Source organism: Homo sapiens, chromosome 17 (assembly GCF_000001405.40).
Source record: "Homo sapiens chromosome 17, GRCh38.p14 Primary Assembly".
NCBI classification, from domain to species: domain Eukaryota; kingdom Metazoa; phylum Chordata; class Mammalia; order Primates; family Hominidae; genus Homo; species Homo sapiens.
Window position 1 is genome coordinate 50,460,985 of NC_000017.11, and position 15,549 is coordinate 50,476,533.

Sequence of the window (15,549 nt, forward strand, 5' to 3'; positions counted from 1 at the left end):
CCAGAGAACCCCGAGGGATGGCAGGAGAAGGAGACAGGACTGACGCACAAGGGGTCCAATGCCTCCTGTATCAGCAGCTCCTGGGGCACCTGTTAACTATGCAGGCCCCAGGGCAGACCCACTGAGGCTGGGAATCTGCCTGTCCCTTTGTCCCCAGTGACTGTGATGAGAACTCCGGGCTAAGGGCTGAGGGTGGGAGTCTTGGGCCCCTTCCTGCTTGCCCCCTTTCACCCCTTGCGCCCCATCTTTTACACTAGGTGGACAAAGCTGCTTCTGGCCTCCTGAGCATTGGCCTCTGCAAAGGTGACCGGCTGGGCATGTGGGGACCTAACTCCTATGCATGGGTGCTCATGCAGTTGGCCACCGCCCAGGCGGGCATCATTCTGGTGAGGAGGGGCTTGCTTGGCACAGCTTGGTGTGCATGGGGGAACATCACTGAAGGGGAGCCCCTCAGGCCCTCAGCCCCAGGATCAAACCAGTGCCTTGTTGGTTTCAAACCAGGTAGTGCTTTCTCCTGAGGCCCACCAAGGAGGTCTCTGGGAGTTAGGGGGCTGTAGAGTGCTGCCTCTATGCCTCCTGGGGGCGGAGGGGCAGCAGGAGGGACAGGGTCTGCCCAGAATACTGATATGCCCTCGCCGCTTCCACCAGGTGTCTGTGAACCCAGCCTACCAGGCTATGGAACTGGAGTATGTCCTCAAGAAGGTACAGCTCATTTGTCGGGGAGGGGCCCGGCTGGGGCCTGGCACAGGGGGCTGCACAGACTCTGCTTGTCAGAGTCTGACGGTGTGAGCTAGGGCATGCATAGGCGGGTGATACGCAGAGTGTCCTTCCTTAGGCCATGTGTGATTGGAAGGTGGCCCCAACTCCAAGGAGAGCGTGGTTGGTCAGACACAAACCTGGCGTGAGTGTGCAGGGACGGGGGCATGTGTGTGTCAGGGCAGAGGTGTGTGTGTGTGTGTGTGTGTGTGCGTGTGTCCATCCTCATATGTGATGCATATGTGTCTCAGGGTGTGGTGTGTGTGTCTCGGGGCTGGTACATGTGTGCATTTGTCTTGGAGTGTGGTGCCTGTGAGTGTGCTGGAGGTGTGTGTGTCAGAAGCGGGTGCATCTGTATGAGAGCAGCTGATTAGTGAGGACTCCCCCAGAGCTCTAGTCTGGGGCTCCCCGCTGACTGGAGGTGGGGGACTCCCCTTCCACAGGTGGGCTGCAAGGCCCTTGTGTTCCCCAAGCAATTCAAGACCCAGCAATACTACAACGTCCTGAAGCAGATCTGTCCAGAAGTGGAGAATGCCCAGCCAGGGGCCTTGAAGAGTCAGAGGTGGGTGTGTCCCAGGTTAGTGGGTGGTGCATCATTCAGCATCCCTGATTCCTTCACTTCCTACCCACCCTGCCCCCTCCCTCAGCCCCTGTCTCTCACCATCGTCCCCAACCCCAGGCTCCCAGATCTGACCACAGTCATCTCGGTGGATGCCCCTTTGCCGGGGACCCTGCTCCTGGATGAAGTGGTGGCGGCTGGCAGCACACGGCAGCATCTGGACCAGCTCCAATACAACCAGCAGTTCCTGTCCTGCCATGACCCCATCAACATCCAGTTCACCTCGGTAGGGCAGAGGTCTCCAGGCCCCAAGCCCAGATGGACACATGCCCCCTGTCCCTGTGACACTTCCGCGGGGATGGGGAGACAGCAGAGGAGAGCATGCCTTCTTTACTGAGACTGGCCTTCAGCTGTCCTCTCTGCCCTGGAAAATATCAGCACCTGGTGTCCTTGTCACATTTCCTCCCCTAGCCCCCCGCCCTCTCCACTCCAGCCCTCTTGTTCCCGGTGCAGTGGCAGATTCACTGAACCAACACAGGTTGGAACTGCTACAGGCTGCCCCTCATTTAGCTGATGAGGAATCAGAGACGCAGAAGAGAGAATTTGCCCAAGCCAGCTTGTGGGTGGCAGAGTTCTCTGGGCCATGTAAGTGGCATGAGAACGGAGACCTTATCTTCTGCATTGCTGGACCCTGACACCTGGTATCGTGGTAGACCTTTTGCAAATATACTGAACAGATGGATCTGGGGCAACAATCCCTGTCTCCTGATTCCCGGTCCCGTGCTCTTCAAGGCAGTGGCCCAGGGTGGGAAGGAGATGAGAAGGAGGCCAAGCCATGCCCTGTTTGCCTTGTCAGGGGACAACAGGCAGCCCCAAGGGGGCCACCCTCTCCCACTACAACATTGTCAACAACTCCAACATTTTAGGAGAGCGCCTGAAACTGCATGAGAAGGTGAGGCGGCACTAGGCCCAGGGCAAGGCTGCAGGAGGGGTGGCTCAGGCAGGGGTGGGGGGCTGGCTGGGCTCCCCTTGCCAGCTAGAGAGGAACTGGCGTCTGGCTCCAAGACAGACCCAGCCTCCTGTCTCCATCACCAGACACCAGAGCAGTTGCGGATGATCCTGCCCAACCCCCTGTACCATTGCCTGGGTTCCGTGGCAGGCACAATGATGTGTCTGATGTACGGTGCCACCCTCATCCTGGCCTCTCCCATCTTCAATGGCAAGAAGGCACTGGAGGCCATCAGCAGAGAGAGGTGGGCACTGGTGGACAGGCTACTTGTGGGCTGATAAAACCCTCTTCTTCCTCACTCCTGGGCCCTGACACCTTTCCAAGCTGCCTCCTCCCTCCAGCCAGGAGACTGAGGATGGGGACAGTGGAGGACCCCCAGGAGAGGACCAGTTCCTGCCTCAGGAGCTTCTCCTGCCTATTCCCTTTGCTGCAGTTTCATGGCGGGGTGGGTGAGAACAGGGAGTTCCCTTCCACTTCCAAGCCTAATTTCGAGACCTCCTCCTATACAGAGGCACCTTCCTGTATGGTACCCCCACGATGTTCGTGGACATTCTGAACCAGCCAGACTTCTCCAGTTATGACATCTCGACCATGTGTGGAGGTGGGGTGGGGCCAAGGGCAGCCAGGCTTGGGGAGGGGGCTGCTTCCCCCACAGGAATGGCCCGGGTGAGTTAGCTATGCTCCCAGTCTTTTATATAGGGGGCAAGAAGGACGCTGTAAAAATGTGGGTGGGAGGGAGGGAGATCCCCAGTGTCCCTGGACACCAGCCCAGGGCCAGCTGCCAGGTGTAGGAAAGGCTCGGGGTCAGAGGAGAAAAGGGAATGTTCCTCCCCTGAATGAGCTGTAGGTGAAAGGACTCCACTGGGCCTGGAGAATTGGGGAGCTGTGTCAGCCCTCTCTCTGATTCAGGTGTCATTGCTGGGTCCCCTGCACCTCCAGAGTTGATCCGAGCCATCATCAACAAGATAAATATGAAGGACCTGGTGGTGAGTGGTGACTGCGGCCCGGGCTGTGGGCAGGCCAGGCCTGGGATGACAGCAGATGGACAGACATGGGGATGAGTCCAGGCCAGATGTTCAAAGGAGACCCTCTCAGCCAGCCCTCCTTCCAGAAAGCAGATGTGAGAAAAGATAGTCTGACCTCATCAGCACCTGGTGGGTGAAGGAGATAGGTGGCAGGGGAGTAAATATAATACATACATACATTTATATTTATAGAAATCTCAGGAAGAAATTGCAGCATGGGAAGATGGACAGCAAAGCACCGATGTCCTGCTAGAACGTCCTGGCAGGTGGGGGCTGGCAGAGTTGGGGCATGGGCTTTAAAACCCTTTCTGGAAGCAAGGGGTGGGGCAAGGATCTGATGATTGTTTCCACGTGGCAGGGAAAGAGGAACAGAGGAAGGATGATCCTGGGAGGGTGGCCATCCTGATGACCAACCTGTTGTGGTTCTGATTGACTTGGGGGGGGGGTCTCAGCAACAGCTTCTCCAAGAGGAGCTGGAGGGTGGGGAAGGCATGAAGGCTGGGGAGAGGCTCAGCCTTCCTTCTCCCCAGGACACTGCTGGGTGGAGCTGGGTTGGTAGTGGAGTGCCCGAGGCCCCCTGCCAGGACGTGTCTAGGTGTAGGCAGCTCTGTGCATCAGCAGAGGCTGTGGGGAGAAGGTATGGGTGGAGGTGAGAAGGTCAGTAGTCTCTCCGGTGGAAGGCAGAGGCCAGTCACCAGGACTGGCTGGGTCAGAACCTGCAAAGAGGCAAAGATCGATGTCAGTACTCCAACAACACAGATGATGCTTGAAGAAAATGGTGGAAGTCCTGGGCAGGACCTTTTCCTCCCTTCAACAGGGGACCCAGTCGTCCCCTCCTCTCTCTGTAAAAATGGAGGGTCTGCCTGACCCTCCAGGGCCAGGGGGTATCCTGGAAGATACCAGCTCACTTGCTGGAATCACCAAAGAGGGACATAGGGGACCTGTTTACCTGGCCCCCACCTGTTTAATGGCGGCCAGCTTTCTTGGACCTCTTGGTGGGGAACTTGCAGCTGCGGAAGGCGTCCGTGTCACGGATGTGCTGGCCCTTGAACTTGGCAGGTGAGGCACAGGTGGCATCTGGGCGGGAGGCCTTGGCTTCCAGCCACCTGGAGAGACAGAAACTTGCTGGGGCTGGGGAAGAAGGTGGGAGTGCTGGGGGGAAGGGCAGTGAACTATGGGGCCAGGATTGACTTGGCCACAGGATAGTCTGAAGCTGTCATCTTCATTTTACAAATGGGGAAACTGAGGCTCCCAGGGTCCCATGCTTATTAGGTAGCAGATCTAGGATGCATGTCCAACATGTCTTAGTGCAGGGCTAATGTGCCTCTATCACATGAGGGTGGGCTCTGGGAGTGACATGGAAGTGTTCTTACCGCCGAAGGCCCCGGAGCTGGCAGGTACACTTCCAGGGGTTATTGGTAAGGGCGAGGGTCTCCAGGCTGTCGAAGGGGAAGTTGGAGGGTAGCTGGTTCAAGCGGTTGTTCTCCAAATGGACGTGTTTCAGCGTGGTTACACCCAGGAAGGCACCATCTGAGAACTGGGGAGCAAGGTGGGAGCAAGGTGGGAGCAAGGTGGTCATGAGTGAATGAGTAAGCACCCGAGTGCCAGAGGGGCAGGATCCTTCCCTGAACCTGAGCCATAGCACTTTGAGGAGTTTCCCAGTTTTCAAAGCAGTATGACCAAGTGATCTCAGATAATCCAATCTACACAACCCCCTTTGAGACAGATGGTGTTATTTTCTTTTTTTTTTTTTTTTCCTTTTTTTTTTTTTGAGATGGAGTCTCACTGTGTTGCCCAGGCTGGAGCACAGTGGCACGATCTCAGCTCACTGCAAGCTCCGCCTCCCGGGTTCACGCCATTCTCCGGCCTCAGCCTCCTGAGTAGCTGGGACTACAAGTGCCCGCCACCATGCCCGGCTAATTTTTTTGTATTTTTTTAGTAGAGACGCAGTTTCACCATGTTAGCCAGGATGGTCTCGATCTCCTGACCTCGTGATCTACCCGCCTCAGCCTCCCAAAGTGCTGGGATTACAGGCGTGAGCCACCACGCCCAGCCAGGTGGTGTTATTTTCAATATGCAAATGGGGAAACGGAAAAAGCGCAGTCCTTTGCCCTGGGTCACAGCAGTGGGTAAACAGTAGCCACAGGACCACACCCAGCTCCTCTTCCCCTGGCACCACAATCCCTGCACAAACACTGGGACTGTGGGGCTGCCAGAGTTTGGCCCCAGCAATCCAAACTGGTACACGGTGAACTTGGTCTGTGCTTGGTGGAGTGGGCAGTGGGCCCAGGCTCCCCACAGTCCCAGGGTCCCAGGACTTCCCTCAGCTCTGTCCTCACTGCTCCCCCACTGCCAGCCAGACGCTATTTGTGAAGCCACCTTGGTGGAGCCTTTGGCCAGGTTGGACGGCTCCAGAGGAAATGTTCTATTGGTGCCCACACCTTTGCCCAGGCGCCACAATTCCTGTCTGGCCTCCCCTGCCCCAAACCAGCCCCTAATTCGCTGCTCTGCTGCCCACTGAAAGACCACTCTGGCACTGGTGGGCCACAGGGGACTCCAACTTCAGCTGGGGAGAGGCAGGGCTGAAGAAGGGCAGGCTTGAGCAGGCTCCTTCCACCCAGACAAAGGTTGGCTGCTGCCCAAGTGAGATTCTGCCCACATCTCCACACCCGCACCCTTTCCTGTGGCCCACATTGAGGTATGAAGGTCTCCAGTAACCAGACTCTCCTCTACCTTGTTGGTTCCCCACCCAAACCTCCTGGCTGAAGCCCCTGTACCAGGGTGATTTTTCCAGTCCCAGAGAAGGGATTCTGCTCTGATCCAAGGTAGCCCCACCTGGCCAGACACTGGGCACCCCAGGGGAGAAAGGAATGAGTGAGGATGCAGACAGGAGATGGGTCTAGTGACGGAGGAGGGCAAAGGGCAGTTAGCAGTCTGGAGACAGTGAGTCACGCCAGTCTTCTCTGTGGAGAGACACCTGGGGTCTTGGGCCAAGGATTGACAATAGTGGTCTTGCCTTTGCCCCTTCACGGAGCCCATGGGCACGATGCTTGCATCCTGGGGGAGCCCTTGGTCCCACGCCTACTGAGCTGCAATGGACTTGAGAATGCAGTGAATTGTGTCTGTGTGGATTGGGCAGGGCCATCCACCAGGGCCTCTATGGGGCATGGAGAATGTCTTCCTCAGGCATTTGCTTCCCCTCACTCCCCAGTCCCCCACTCCCCCTTAGCACACATGCACAGCCCCCACCAGGAACAGGGTCTCTTTGTGGGCCTGATCTGCCCAGCTCCTCTGGAAGGCTCCTCAATAAACAAACCTTCCTTTATGGGGTGGTAGGTTTACTGGAGACGGGAAAAACAGCAGAGGAGGGGTGGAAGGCCCAACAGGAAGAGGTGGCTGCTGCTCACAGTTGGGGGTTTGGAAGCACTGGAGATGGCCCTAGGGGGCCTTTTGTGGGGCCAGGGCAGTCCCACTCCTTTTATATGTAAGAATCCTAGGAGGGCAGTGGTCGAGACTGGCAGCAGACAGGGATTAGGGTAGGGATGTGACAAGGCGAGGAAGGGAGGTGGCAGAGCTGCTCACCTTGGAGATAGCCAGAGGGACAGGGAACCTGGGGACGGGGGATGGTGCCAGCTGTGGCCCTGGCTCCTGGGGCCTCCAGGAAGGGAAGAAGGAACCAGGGCAGAGCCCACAGCCAGGAGCTCACCTTCTCCAGGTTGGTGTTGTCCAGCCAGAGGGTCTCCAGGTATCTGCCAAAGGACTGGAAGGCATTGTCCGGGATGCTTTTCAGGGGGTTGTGGGACAGCTTCAGCTCCTCCACCACCCGTAGCTTGCTCAGGGCAGCTGAGGGGTAGCTGGACAGCTGGTTCCTGTCCACGTGGAATTTGGCGAGGTTCTCCACGTCGTCCAGGGCCCCGGGCTGCAGGGAGCTCAACGCGTTTTCCGACAGGTAGAGCCAGCGCAGGTCCTTGGCTCCCTGGAAGGCGCCTGCGCGCAGCTCACGGATCTTGTTGTTGTTGAGCTGCAAGATGAAGAGGTTGACCAGCGGGGAGAGCAACCCCCGGGGCAGCTCAGTGACCTTGTTGTGGTCCAGGTAGAGGTAGGTCAGCTCGGTCAGGTCGTCGAAGGCACCTGCGCGCAGCACGCGGATGTCGTTATGGGACAGGTACAAGTAGATAAGTTGCTTGAGGCCGCGGAAGGCACCGGCGGCCACCTCGCGGATCTGGCAGTGCTGCAGGTGCAATGACACGAGGTTCGGCATGGCCCGGAACGAATTGGCAGCCAGCACCGGGAAGTTGTTGCGCTGTAGGTTGAGCAGCTTGGTCTTCTCTGACACCTTGGGGATCTTCTGCAGCCCCACCTTGTCGCAGATGACGTGCTGCAGGTCGCTGTGGCAGTGGCAGTTCTGGGGGCAGGCGGCCAGCGCCGGCAGCAGACCAGCCAGGAGGCCGAGGCTGAGCAAGAGCATTGGGCGGACCATGGCTGGGACGCCTGGGGCCGGGGCTGGGGGCAGCAGCGGCGGCGGGGCGCGGGCAGCGGCGAGTCCTAGGCGCTCGGGTCTGCCGCCCTCTTTATACGGTGGCCCTGACCGCAGCCGGCAGCCGAGCCAGCTCCTACGTGGAGCATCGAGGCCACTGGGCTTAACTCGCTCGCGCCCAGAGATGCGCCCCCGCCCTCCACGGGGAAGGGGGCGGGGCCGTTCCCCCAGCCGGCTACCGTGCATGAGGGGGTGGGACCGTGGCCCCCGAGCCCCGAGCCCTGAGCCCCGGCTGTAGCCCCCCGCTCTCCTATGGTGCTCCTCTGCCTACCGCCTTTCCCGGGGCTTTTCTGGGAAGGGGGAATAGTTATGTCTGGAGCCCCGAGTTTACATCGGAGAGAGGGAGGCGTTCCCTCAACTTATTTGTTTGCTCAGGTTTGAGCCTCCACGCCGCGCCATCCACACACGCTCGGCCGGGTGCCCTGGATGCGAGGCGGGAGGAAGCGGGGCCGGACAGCTGGATGCGTCTCCCTGCGGTGGGCCAGCTGCCTGCGCTTTAAAGGGGCGCTTGTGCGGCGCCTGCCGAGCGTGAGAGCCGCCCCGGCGTCGGTCTCCCACTTCAGACTCGACGCGCCGAAGCTGGCCCTGGGTAGACCCGAGCTCCTTCCCCACCCTCGGGCGCGCCCCCACCCCTCTCTTCCAACCCCGCTTGCGTTTCTGTCGCCGGCGCCCTCATCCCCTTTTTCCACCGCTGAAGGCTAAGCAGAGAAGTGGGAAGTGGGGGAGAGTGGCCCACAGGAATGGCAAACACACCTGGAAACCACAGGCCACAAGCACAGTCGCACCATCCCCCCTCCTTCATCGCCCCGAAATATCTCCATCCCTCATCCCCAACCCTAGTGGTCAGGACCCGCCCCTGAGGGGTCTCAGGGTGGCGGCTGAGTGGCGCCGAGGTGTACTTGGCAGATGCCACATTCGGGCGGTGGCCCCAGGACTGTGAGGAGGGGTGCGGGAGGGGGTGGGGCAGGTCGAGGGACCAGCCCTGGACGGCTCTGGCTGCCAGACCCTAAGTTCTGTGGGCAGTCCCGCCCCAGCCCGCCAGATTTCTGTGTGCCCACTTGCCAGCCACGATGTCCGGATTCCTGTGGAAAGGGGAGGGTGAGCAGGCAGGGTCACAGCTCTGGCCTCAGGGTGAGCTCCAAGCTGCCTGGCACAGGATATTGTCTGTGATGAGGGGTGGAAGGAGAAACCAGAACCCACATTGAACCAAACCCCAGCCGTGCCAGAGCCAGAGCAGCTGATATGGGGGAAGCTTGGTGCAGGGAGGAGGATGGATGAGATCTGGTATCCGTTGATTAAAGGGGACCTAGGATACGGGGTAACTAGCCTCTCTTCCCTTACCCAGTACCCTCGTGTTGGGGCCTGGTTTCCAGGGCCTGCCCTTTTCCCAAACCTCTCTGCCCCTTGCCTCTAGGATAGGAGGGTCATACTTGGCCTAGACCATTCCTTGATGGTATTTAGGCTTCTCCAAGGCTGGCTTCTGGTTTTTCTGTTGCTCAGGCTTTCCAACCACTGGAAATGGGGGAGGTGGGGTGGGGGTACCACTGGTTTTTAAAATCACTGCTTAGGTTGTTTTTTTATTTTGATGGAAATAAATTCACGGGAAACTCTCCAGAGCTTGGGGGACGCCTGCCCCAAGGCCAGGCACTTGTTCAGGGTTTGCAGAATGCGGGGGTGGGGTTGTGTCTGTGCCACTCCTAGCTGGGCCAAGGCAGGCTGGCTTTCTCATCAAGTTTATGGGGCCTTCAGCTTGGAAGGGAGGAGCCGGGGATGTGGCCTGAAATCAGGAAGGTGGGGTTAAGGCAGCCAGGGGATGGGGGGAGAAGTGTGGGGTGTTGGTAATACCGGAGCCACAGGCACAGACAGGTGGCTGCTCCAGGGAAACGGGGCACTGAGAGAGCTCCAGCTGGAAGAGAATGGTGTCCCTGCTCTCAATTTTCTTTCAGATCTGGGGCCCTGCAGAGATCTAGTCTGCTCACTCCCAGCACCTCTGCCTCCTGACCCCAGGCCCCTACCAATGATGTCTCTGTTTCCACCATTCGGCTGCCCTCCACTTTCCCTTTTCTTTTATGAATTCCTTCCCATTTCCTCAGATAGCTCACCTGATCCCTCTGCACGTGCTGAGCCCTCTTCAAACACCCTTTCTGGACCCTCTAGGTTGCTTATGGAACCACAGAGAACAGTCCCGTGACATTCGCGCACTTCCCTGAGGACACTGTGGAGCAGAAGGCAGAAAGCGTGGGCAGAATTATGCCTCACACGGAGGTGAGCCCCTGACCAAGACTCCAAAGTCCCACCTCCCGTCACCCAGCTGGGGTGCACCCAGCTGGGACATCGGTTGCTTTCAGTGAGAGAGTCAAATGGCTCACTCAGGATGCCTAGAGCCCCCCAGCAGCAGGGGTGTGCTAGGCCTGGCCCGGAGTGTTCTCTGTGGGCTAAGCATGAAAGGGGAAGAGCTGGAACAGTGGCTGTGAGCGGCTGCCAGCTGAACTTCTCCGCGGCCTCCCTTCCTGTCTGAGGTGTGTTTTTGCCAAGCCCACTGTCTGTTTCAGGGCAGCCAGGGTAGCCTCAAAGAGGAGCCAGAGCACAGAGAGTTTTCCTACACAGCTTCTTTTCCTCCAGTGGTGCTCGCCTCTCGCTTTAGCAGAGTTCTTCTTCTTGCTTGGCGTAAACACTTCATTTCCCAAGCAGCCTATCCCTTTGGGGCGGTCCCTTTGCCCCTCAAAGGTTGCCCCAGAGTGCACCTGAATCTCAAATGCCCAGCCATGCCTCCTTTCCTGCTCCAACACTGGGGCTGTGCCAGCTGGCTCCTGATTTCCCCTGCACCCTTCTGCTCCCGCCCCTGGGGGATCGCTGCCCCCGTGCACAAGCAGCTGCTTCCCCTGGGGCTGACCGCTGTCCTGGCGTGAATCTGCCCTGCCCTCCCGCCAGAGCAACCATGTACCCAGGGATTGAGTAGGGATGTGAGCCTCCTCCCGTGTGTGCTACAGCTGCACTGCCACTGTCACTAAGATGCCCACCTGGAAGGGAAACAGGGGCAGGCATCACTCACCCCATTTCACGGACACAGACACTGAGGCACACAGAGGCTCAGCTTTCCTTGGCACGGTGGCCGTGGCTCTTTTCTCTACCAGGCTTTCAGACTCTGTCTCTCCTGTTCACATGGTGTTGCCATGCCACCCTGTTTGGCTTATTTGCTGCTTAATGGGAAGTAAGAGGAGACTCCCTTCTCCTCTGCACGGTTTATAATTCTTCAGCTGGCTCTGCAGTCCACAAACCTCTTTCTTTGCAGCAGCTGCCTGCCCACTCTGTTTCCTCAGCCCTCCCAGCCTGGGACTCAGCTCTTCTTTCATGCCCAGCTCAGGTCTCTCACTGGCTTTGGGTCGACTCTAGCCTTTGTCTCCCTTCTCTGGATGGGGATAAGCAGAGCCAGGGGGCCTCATTCCAGGCAGTTGGGTTGGGGGGTTGGGGGCAGGCAAAGCTCTCTCCATTTCCAAGGACCACCTATCCTGAAGCAAGAGGATAGGAAGCCCCAACCTGAGGCCATCCTGTCCCAGGCCCGGATCATGAACATGGAGGCAGGGACGCTGGCAAAGCTGAACACGCCCGGGGAGCTGTGCATCCGAGGGTACTGCGTCATGCTGGGCTACTGGGGTGAGCCTCAGAAGACAGAGGAAGCAGTGGATCAGGACAAGTGGTATTGGACAGGGTGAGAAGGCAGGGCGGGGTGGAGGCTCTGGCCGCTGAGGGGAGGCTGGAGGTCTTGAGGCTGAGCCGGGAACATTAACCTGGCACCGTGAGGATGTGGGTATCAAGATGACCCCTCACATGCTGGAGTCTTAATTTCCAAAATGTATACGGTGGGGATGATCATACATAGCACAGAAGAAAGCAACTGGGTCATCACCCTACACCAGCAGCTGCAAAATCTGAGTCCAGATTCAGTCACTCATTTGTTAGCTCAGCAAATTCTTACTAGAATTCCTTATGTGCTAGCACCGTTCTCGCCGCTAGAGGTCCAGAGGAAAGTAAGATGAGAAGGATCCTGCTTTTTGGAGGAAGACAGATGATGCCCAACATCGATAAATAACACCAAGAAAATAGGCCAGGCGCGGTGACTCACACCTGTAATCTCAGCAGTTTGGGAGGCCGAGGCGGGTGGATCACCTGAAGTCAGAAGTTTGAGACCAGCCTGGCCAACACAGTGAAACCCCACCTCTACTAAAAATACAAAAATTAGCCGGACGTGGTGGCGGCACGTGCCTGTAGTCCCAGCTACTCGGAGGCTGAGGCAGGAGAATCGCTGTAACCCAGGAGATGGAGGTTGCAGTGAACCGAGATCGCGCCACTGCACTCAAGACTGGGCGACAGAGCAGGACTCCATCTCAAAAACAAACAAGCAAATGAACAAACAAAAAACACTAAGAAAATGAAATAGGGTTATAGGAGAGAAAGTGGCTGTGGTGGGGAGGGGAGCTTCCCTTAGATTGAGTGGACAGAGAAGATGTCTGGAGACATTTGAGCTGAGACCTGGAAAGAAGCCAGTCGTGAAAAGCTATGTATAGATGTGTTGAGAGAGACAGAATATGTTATAGGTATTGTTTTGTTTTTGTCTACCTCCCCTCCCCTTACTGGACTATTAATTCCAGAGACTGTGTCTTGTTCCTGCTATGTCTCCCAGAGTCTAGAGCAGTGGAAGACACATAGTAGCTGGTCAATAAATGTTTCACGACTGAGCAAGCAAGTGAGTGAACAAGGCAGAGATGACAGGTTGCCCCTGGGCTTTCCTTACAGAGATGTCGCCACAATGAATGAGCAGGGCTTCTGCAAGATCGTGGGCCGCTCTAAGGATATGATCATCCGGGGTGGTGAGAACATCTACCCCGCAGAGCTCGAGGACTTCTTTCACACACACCCGAAGGTGCAGGAAGTGCAGGTGAGGCACTTGGCTCAGGTGAGCCCCCAGAAACAAGAAACACACATGAACACGGTGATGTCTGATATTTTTCTTTGGCCCTGGAAGGTGGTGGGAGTGAAGGACGATCGGATGGGGGAAGAGATTTGTGCCTGCATTCGGCTGAAGGACGGGGAGGAGACCACGGTGGAGGAGATAAAAGCTTTCTGCAAAGGGAAGGTGGGAGCCTCCGCTCAACCTAGCTGATGCTGCTCTGTTCTTTGCTCACCCACTCCTCTGCCAACCAGCCCAGGGTGGGGATTGCTCTGCCCTTGACGAAGCTGACTCCTGGCCAGGCCAGCCCCTGGTCCCCTACCCATACCCCTGTGAGCTTGCGCAGCCTCACGCCTTACCTCCCTCCCTCTGGTCTGCAGATCTCTCACTTCAAGATTCCGAAGTACATCGTGTTTGTCACAAACTACCCCCTCACCATTTCAGGAAAGGTGTGTAAGGTGGAGGAGGCTGGGGAGGGCAGCCTGGGCTCTGGGGCCCCATAGGGCCCCACCTCTGTTTCCTTCAGCAATGGGTGTGGAGAGACTGGCAGTAGGGTGACCGGGTCACCTAATCCTGGTTTGCCTGGGGACTTTCCCTGTTTTGGCACTAAGAGCCTGAGAAACCCCTTATTCTTGGGTGAACCAAGACAGCTGGTAACCCTAACTCCATTTTCTTTCCTCTAGATCCAGAAATTCAAACTTCGAGAGCAGATGGAACGACATCTAAATCTGTGAATAAAGCAGCAGGCCTGTCCTGGCCGGTTGGCTTGACTCTCTCCTGTCAGAATGCAACCTGGCTTTATGCACCTAGATGTCCCCAGCACCCAGTTCTGAGCCAGGCACATCAAATGTCAAGGAATTGACTGAACGAACTAAGAGCTCCTGGATGGGTCCGGGAACTCGCCTGGGCACAAGGTGCCAAAAGGCAGGCAGCCTGCCCAGGCCCTCCCTCCTGTCCATCCCCCACATTCCCCTGTCTGTCCTTGTGATTTGGCATAAAGAGCTTCTGTTTTCTTTGGCTTCTTGCTGGTGGGCTCTCTTGGCAGCTACTACAGGATGGAGAAGGGAAGACACTGAGGGGAACTAGCACTTTCAGACGTCCTATTCCTTGTCATTGAGAGTGCAGAGCACCTTGATGTGGATTATCTACTTAATTTAACCCTCACCCTTGGTATCCCTTTGAGATACCAACCCATTTTTGTTGTTGTTCTTGTTTTTTGAGACAGAGTCTTGCCCTGTCACCCAGGCTGGAGTGTAGTCATGCGATCTCAGCTCACTGCAACCTCTGCCTCCCTAATTCAAGTGATTCTCCTTCCTCACCCTCCCAAGTAACTGGGATTGCAGATACCCACCACCACACCCAACTAACTTTTGTATTTTTAGTAGAGGCGAGGTTTTACCATGTTGGCCAGGCTGGTCCTCAAACTCCTGACCTCAAGCAATCCGCCTGCCTCAGCCTACCAAAGTGCTGGGATTACAGGCATGAACCACTGCGCCTGGCCCCAATTTTTTATTTTTAAGCTACTCTAATTTAATTCTTTTTCACATTGTTGCCAGATTAGTCTAGCAAGAAGTATTCTTTTTATATATGTATAACAGCTTGATTGAGATGTAATTCACATACTCTCCAGTTCACTCCCACCTCCCCCATTTTCTAGAGACAGGATCTCATTCCGTCACCCGTGCTGGAGTGCAGTGACTCACTGTAGCGACATGATCATAGCTCACTGCAGCCTCGAACTCCTGGGCTCAAGCAGTCCTCCCACCTCAGCCTCCTGAGTAGCTGGGACTGTAGGAATGTGCCACCATGTCTTAACTAATTTTTAAACATAGACACAGGATCTTGCTATGTTGCCTAGGCTGGTCTAGAACTCATGGGCTCAAGCAATCCTCCTGCCTCAGTCTCTCAAAGTGCTGGGACAATCTACCATTTAAAGTATAGAATTCAGTGGTCTTTAGTATATTCACAAATATGTGTAACTATCACCACAGTCAATTTTAAATATTGTCATCACCTAAGAAAGAAACCCCATACTCTTTAACTATTATCTCCCATCTCCCAGCCCCCTTCCTCCCCAACCAACCTCATTTTTAGTTTTTATTTGTTTTGATTGGTGAACCTGGGGCATCCCTCGTAGGCAGGGCCAGATAAAGCAGGTTGTACCTTGACCCAAGAAATAAAAACAGCTGGGTTCCAAAAGGCACATAGATTCCCAGTTCACAGGAATGGAAACTTGCCTCCTGCCTGCCCCCTTACCTCCCAGCGCGCCTGCCCCCTTACCTCCCAGCGCGCCTGCCCCCTTACCTCCCAGCGCGCCTGCCCCCTTACCTCGCAGCGCGCCTGCCCCCTTACCTCGCAGCGCTCCTGCCCCCTTACCTCCCAGCGCGCCTGCCCCCTTACCTCGCAGCGCGCCTGCCCCCTTACCTCGCAGCGCGCCTGCCCCCTTACCTCCCAGCGCGCCTGCCCCCTTACCTCGCAGCGCGCCTGCCCCCTTACCTCCCAGCGCGCCTGCCCCCTTACCTCGCAGCGCGCCTGCCCCCTTACCTCGCAGCGTGCCTGCCCCCTTACCTCCCAGCGTGCCTGCCCAAGGCAGCAGCAGCCTCCTCTTGACTTTTTAAGAAATGAACATAGGTTTAAGGTATTTTCAGTACCAGGCTCTGTGCTAGGTACTTTCACATTATTTTCTCTCCAAATCTTCCCAACAATCCTTTCAAG

The 15,549-nt window shown here is 56.8% G+C and overlaps 2 protein-coding genes across 16 annotated transcripts in view, besides 2 other annotated features; one reads left to right on the forward strand and one right to left on the reverse strand.

Moving 5' to 3' along the window:
- ACSF2 (acyl-CoA synthetase family member 2) overlaps positions 1 to 13,861 on the forward strand; it is a 48,628-nt gene extending 34,767 nt beyond the window's left edge. For 2 of the 13 annotated variants that reach the window (NM_001288968.2, NM_025149.6), the window contains 14 exons: positions 258 to 386; positions 649 to 702; positions 1,200 to 1,318; positions 1,436 to 1,601; positions 2,172 to 2,267; positions 2,411 to 2,568; positions 2,834 to 2,925; positions 3,234 to 3,310; positions 10,044 to 10,151; positions 11,444 to 11,595; positions 12,681 to 12,822; positions 12,910 to 13,020; positions 13,215 to 13,283; positions 13,518 to 13,853. In NM_001288968.2, coding sequence (NP_001275897.1) covers positions 258 to 386; positions 649 to 702; positions 1,200 to 1,318; positions 1,436 to 1,601; positions 2,172 to 2,267; positions 2,411 to 2,568; positions 2,834 to 2,925; positions 3,234 to 3,310; positions 10,044 to 10,151; positions 11,444 to 11,595; positions 12,681 to 12,822; positions 12,910 to 13,020; positions 13,215 to 13,283; positions 13,518 to 13,568 — 1,524 coding nt within the window. In that variant the 3' untranslated portion in view covers positions 13,569 to 13,853. Of the gene's footprint in view, positions 1 to 257; positions 387 to 648; positions 703 to 1,199; positions 1,319 to 1,435; positions 1,602 to 2,171; positions 2,268 to 2,410; positions 2,569 to 2,833; positions 2,926 to 3,233; positions 3,311 to 3,541; positions 3,616 to 7,344; positions 7,449 to 10,043; positions 10,152 to 11,384; positions 11,415 to 11,443; positions 11,596 to 12,680; positions 12,823 to 12,909; positions 13,021 to 13,214; positions 13,284 to 13,517 lie in introns of those variants that run through there. The other 11 variants (NM_001288970.2, NM_001288971.2, XM_011525294.3 and 8 more) reach the window with 10 other exon arrangements.
- CHAD (chondroadherin) lies at positions 3,512 to 7,896 on the reverse strand. Of its 3 annotated transcripts, none has more exons than NM_001267.3 (4): positions 7,056 to 7,896; positions 4,723 to 4,886; positions 4,310 to 4,455; positions 3,512 to 4,065 (listed from the first exon to the last, which is right to left on the reverse strand). In NM_001267.3, the coding sequence occupies exons 1-3, from the start codon at positions 7,827 to 7,829 to the stop codon at positions 4,314 to 4,316; spliced, it is 1,080 nt and encodes a 359-aa protein (NP_001258.2). In that variant the 5' UTR covers positions 7,830 to 7,896; the 3' UTR covers positions 3,512 to 4,065; positions 4,310 to 4,313. The 3 variants fall into 3 exon arrangements, with proteins under 3 accessions (NP_001258.2, XP_011522516.2, XP_047291129.1); XM_011524214.3 differs by having other exon boundaries at positions 4,299 to 4,455; XM_047435173.1 differs by having other exon boundaries at positions 3,512 to 4,455.
- Positions 6,853 to 7,811: an enhancer, noted in NCBI's record as "H3K27ac-H3K4me1 hESC enhancer chr17:48545198-48546156 (GRCh37/hg19 assembly coordinates)". NCBI's record gives its function as "activates a minimal SCP1, AML or CMV promoter by ChIP-STARR-seq in naive H9 embryonic stem cells {active_cell/tissue: H9 hESC(naive)}" and the evidence as "EXISTENCE:reporter gene assay evidence [ECO:0000049][PMID:30033119]".
- Positions 7,812 to 8,769: an enhancer, noted in NCBI's record as "H3K27ac-H3K4me1 hESC enhancer chr17:48546157-48547114 (GRCh37/hg19 assembly coordinates)". NCBI's record gives its function as "activates a minimal SCP1, AML or CMV promoter by ChIP-STARR-seq in naive and primed H9 embryonic stem cells {active_cell/tissue: H9 hESC(naive and primed)}" and the evidence as "EXISTENCE:reporter gene assay evidence [ECO:0000049][PMID:30033119]".
- Positions 13,862 to 15,549: the final 1,688 nt, after the last annotated feature.